Source organism: Homo sapiens, chromosome 6, assembly GCF_000001405.40.
Source record: "Homo sapiens chromosome 6, GRCh38.p14 Primary Assembly".
In the NCBI taxonomy this organism is placed as follows: domain Eukaryota; kingdom Metazoa; phylum Chordata; class Mammalia; order Primates; family Hominidae; genus Homo; species Homo sapiens.
Genome location: NC_000006.12, coordinates 3,487,630 through 3,492,279, shown reverse-complemented (window position 1 = coordinate 3,492,279; position 4,650 = coordinate 3,487,630). Strand labels below are relative to the sequence as shown.

At 47.0% G+C, this 4,650-nt stretch overlaps 1 annotated feature.

Annotated features, from left to right (window-relative positions):
• Positions 1,964-2,463: an enhancer, noted in NCBI's record as "H3K27ac hESC enhancer chr6:3490051-3490550 (GRCh37/hg19 assembly coordinates)". NCBI's record gives its function as "activates a minimal SCP1, AML or CMV promoter by ChIP-STARR-seq in primed H9 embryonic stem cells {active_cell/tissue: H9 hESC(primed)}" and the evidence as "EXISTENCE:reporter gene assay evidence [ECO:0000049][PMID:30033119]".

Sequence of the window (4,650 nt, the reverse complement as noted above, 5' to 3'; positions counted from 1 at the left end):
CATCCAACCAAATCTCAAATCCTATCATGGAACCTTCCTAACACCCTCCTATGGAGACACCCCATGTCTCCCATGGTGGGCGTCCTCCCACACTGCAACTCGTGATAAACCCAACTTGTTCAGTGGCAGCGGTGCTCCAGGGGTCTCAGGCTGGACCTCCCTGACAGTGCCGTTCAGTTGGCTTCCGTTTGATGACCCACAGGCCAGCTGCCAAATTTGTGAGAAGAGGTGTCGAGAGGATGATAAAATGGAGGCCCTGAAGATGAAGAAGAGGGTTTGGATGATTTCTGCAGAGAAAGAGAAAGAGGAGTTTGGAGGGCGTGTTGGCATAGGTTTCCTCTGTAAGGCAATGCAGCCCTTTCCTCCATCTCCCAGCCTTCAGCAAAAGATGGATGGTTCATTAAGCTCTTGAAAGAAGTTGGGTGTGGGGCAGAGAAGGCTGGATCTTTAGCGGGATGAAGAGATTGGACTATAAGCTGATACCACAAGAGAGGTAGATGGCCCCAGAATGCTCCACCTATCAGGTTATCAAGATTTTCCCTTCACCAGTCAGTCTGCAAATGTCTACAGGACAGACAATTTAATCAAATGTAGTCCCTACAGTACCCTATACTGTGTACTGGCCATGGTGGGTTCTCAAGTCTTGGGTTCGGGGTGAGAGGTCCTCTGTGAGAAGAAACTCTCCCTCCTTCCAAAGAGAGCTGGCCATGTGACCAACCGCCACCCTGCCCACAGCCAGAGGAATTCCCTCTGGGCTCCTGACCCTAGCAAAGCCCATCAATAGGCTCCTGCCAGTGACTCTGCAGATCAGGGATGACAGTGGCCGATGGGCTCCTTCTGGCCCTTTCTCAGGAAGTTTGGCAGTAAAATAGAGAAGAGACAGTGTGAGTATATTCATTTCCTGGGACTGCCAGGAGCTACCACAAACTGGTAGCTTCAACACCAGAGATTATTGTCTCGCTGTTCTAGAGAAAAAAGTTCAAGATGAAGGCATTGGTGGAGTTGATGCCTTCTGAGACCCACAAGGGAAGACTCTATTCCAGGCCTCCGTCCTTGGCTTGCGGGTGGCCATCTTCATGTCCACATGGCACTCTCCCTACACGTGTGTCTCTGCATCCAAATTTCCCCTTTTTACATGGCGTGTTCATACTCATGTATGGAAGCTTTAAAAAGGTTGATCGCATAGATGTAAAAAGTAGAACAAAGGATACTCAGGGCTGAGAAGAATGGGGAAAAGAGGATTAGGGAGAGATTTATTAAAGGATTCAAAATCACAGCTAGATAGGAGGAATAAGTTCTTTTGTCCCATAGTACTATAGGGTGACTATCGCTAACAATGCTCTGTACTTTCAAACAGCTAGAAGGAGAATAGCGAACATTCCCAACACAAAGAAATAATACATGTTTGAGCTGACAGATATGCTGATTACCCTGATCTGATGACTATACACCACAGTTCCCCAATCTTTTTGGCAGCAGGGACTGGTTTCATGGAAGACATTTTTTCCATGGATGGGGTGGTGGTGGATGGCTTCAGGATGATTCAAGTACATTCCATTTATTGTGCACTTTATTTCTACTATTATTACATTGTGATGACATATAATGAAATAATTATACAACTCACCATAATGTAGAAACAGTGGGAGCCCTGAGCTTGTTTTCCTGCAACTAGATTGATGGGAGACAGTGACGGATCATCAGGCATTAGATTATCATAAGTAACTCGCATGCACAGTTCACAACAGGGTTCATGCTCCTTCGAGAATCTGATGCTACTGCTGATCTGGCAGGAGGCAGAGCTCAGGCAGTAATGCAAAAGATGGGGCGTGGCTGTCAATACAGATGAAGCCTCACTTGCTCACCCACAGGCTGCTCACCCCTTACAGCCTGGTTCCTAACGGGCCATGGACCAGTAGCAGTCCGTGGCCTGGGGGTTGGGGATCCCTGCTATGCACTATATGTATTGAAACATCACTGTGTACCCCCGACCCCGTGAATATGTTCAATTATTATTTGTCAATTAAAAGCATAAAATATTTAAAAACCAAATTTCCCCTTTTTATAAGGACACCAGTCGTACTGGATCAGGGCTTACCCTAATGACGTCACTTTAACCTGATTACCTCTGTAAAGACCCTGTCTCCAAATAAGGTCAGACTCTGAAGTACTGGGGGTTAGGACTTCAGTATGTACATTCTGAGGGACACAATTGGACCTATAACAGCGAGCCACCAGCAGACACCCACGGCAGACCCTGAAAGACATCATCTGGAATGTCTCTTTCAAACCTTAGCACATGCAGATTCTGATTTCTTTGTTCTGGGGTGGGCTCGAGGAGTCTTTATTTCTAAAACAAGTGTCCAGAGGATGCTGATGCTGGTGCTGCTGGTCCATGAATCCCACTGGGACTAGTGAGGGAGCAGGACCTCTCCTGGGGCCCCTACTGCCCCCTTGAACAGGACTTGTGGACCTGAAGGATTGAACTGTTCTCAGCAGCTCCTTGGATTCTGTGAGCTTAAGGCAGCTGTTCTCAACTTCGCAGCTCATTGGAACTACCCTGAGAGCTTGAAAAAAGTCATCATGGTTACCTCCCAAAGATCCTGATTTAGCATTTTTAGAAGCTCCCCAGGGGATTCGACGACTGCTTTCAGGGATCCTTCCCACAGTTCATGGATTTACATTTTAGCGGGAACACCTATTACCCAGTGACCCTTATTGTGGGAATTTCAACCACCAGTTTCAATGGTGGGAAAATATCTATGGACAGACAAGTCTTTTGTTCTGCAAATAACAACAGAATGAGGTCATTTTAGTGCTTTGTAAGATCATCCTTGCCAGAAAGTATGGGGTGGGGAGTGAGAATGGGCTAGAGTCTTATTTAGAACAGAGCAATGTATTAAATCCTTATTTTCCAAGAATGCGTTGAGCACTTCTCAAGGTGAGAAAAAGCTCTCACCCTATGCAACACCTGTAATTGTCAAGGGACAGGAAAGAGTCTCTCAGTTGTTGACAATGCCTTAGCAGAATGAGGGTGTCTGGATGGGAGGGGCCTTCTGAGACCAGTCCTCTGGGGACTGTGACTCAGTAGGGACACCTCCAAGACTAAGTGCTTGGAAATCATGAAATATGCTTATGAGACAATTCGCATATGTGGCCTCCAGTGTTGGCCGTGAGAGCAGGAAGCTGAGATTGGGTAAAATAGGAGAAAGTCATTTCAATGACACCATGAAGAAGGTTTTTTAAACATCATATAAAATATGAAAAAATAAAATAAAAACAAGCCAGGCATGGTGGCTCATGCCTGTAATCCCAGCACTTTAGGAGGCTGAGGCGGGTGGATCACCTGAGGTCAGGAGTTCGAGACCAGCCTGGCCAACATGGTGAAACCCCATCTCTACCAAAAATACAAAAATTAGCTGGGCGTGGTGGTGTGCACCTGCAGTCCCAGCTACTTGGGAGGCTTAGGCAGGAGAATCGCTTGAACCAGGGAAGTGGAGGTTGCAGTGAAATGAGATCACACCATTCTACAACAGCCTGGGCAACAGAGCAAGACTCTGTTTCAAAAAAAAAAATTTAAACATTTACAAAAATATTCCCCTGTTAAAGAGTTTTATTTTATTTTTGTCCAAACATATGACATATGAGCATCAAGTTCTAAATACTCTTCAGTGTGAGTGCCACCCTGATATTGTAAATGCCTGCATGCAACTCTTTCTTCCTGACCATAGTCCCTTCTTGGGAAGCCTGTGCTATCTCCATTGAGGAGTCTCCGGTGTCCAGCATGATGCCGGGCACATCGGCCATCACAGACATGATGGAGTCTGTTTGCATGGTTTGCTCCCTGCAGTCCCAGTGCCCTGCAGAGTGCCTGCACACACAGGGGCTCGGTGAGTATTTGATAAATGAGCATCGGCCCATGGAGAAGTGGAAAGTCAAGCTCTCACTAGCCAGAGGCAAGCTCTCTGATTTTTCAGATTATTTCATTCACCCAGATTGGTGCAGCGTTAGCAGGAGGGAGGGTGGGAACCGTGAGAGGTGGTGGCCATGAGCGGCAAGGAGTAGGGTGGTCTTTGGCCCTGACCTTTACTCTTTTCCCTTGGAGACAGTCTGAGCTGCAGCAGCCCAGCCTTCTATCTCCCTGCTCACCCCCGAGTTCAGAGCCAGGAATCCAAGCTGCCTTTCCACAGAGCACTATTTCTTCAGAAGATGCCTGCAGAGTCCTTGTTGTCGACACCGCCTCTGTCTCACACTTTTCTACTGCTTCCCATGCAGTCCTGCACCCAGCTCGCCACACTCCCAGCCTTGCCCTCAAATGACCCTGAAAGCTGCCTTTTTCCAAATGTGGAGACCCAGAACCTCTTAGCCACTGTCAGGAATCTCAGACCAGGACTACACACCCCAAATAGATTTAAAAGAGCACAGCTGACATGTTGGAAACTGATTAGTACTGTGACTTTTGCTCAGCCCAGCTGCCTAAATTGAAATCTATTCACATCAATCAACTAGTAGCTGTTGAATATCTACTGGGAGTTTAAGATTGTGCTAGGTGCTACTGCAGGAGACACAAAAGAAACACAAAACGGTCTGTACAGGGAAGCAGCGTCCTCCTTTTATGGGGTGGCAAGAGTAATGCTGAGGATAGTGGCC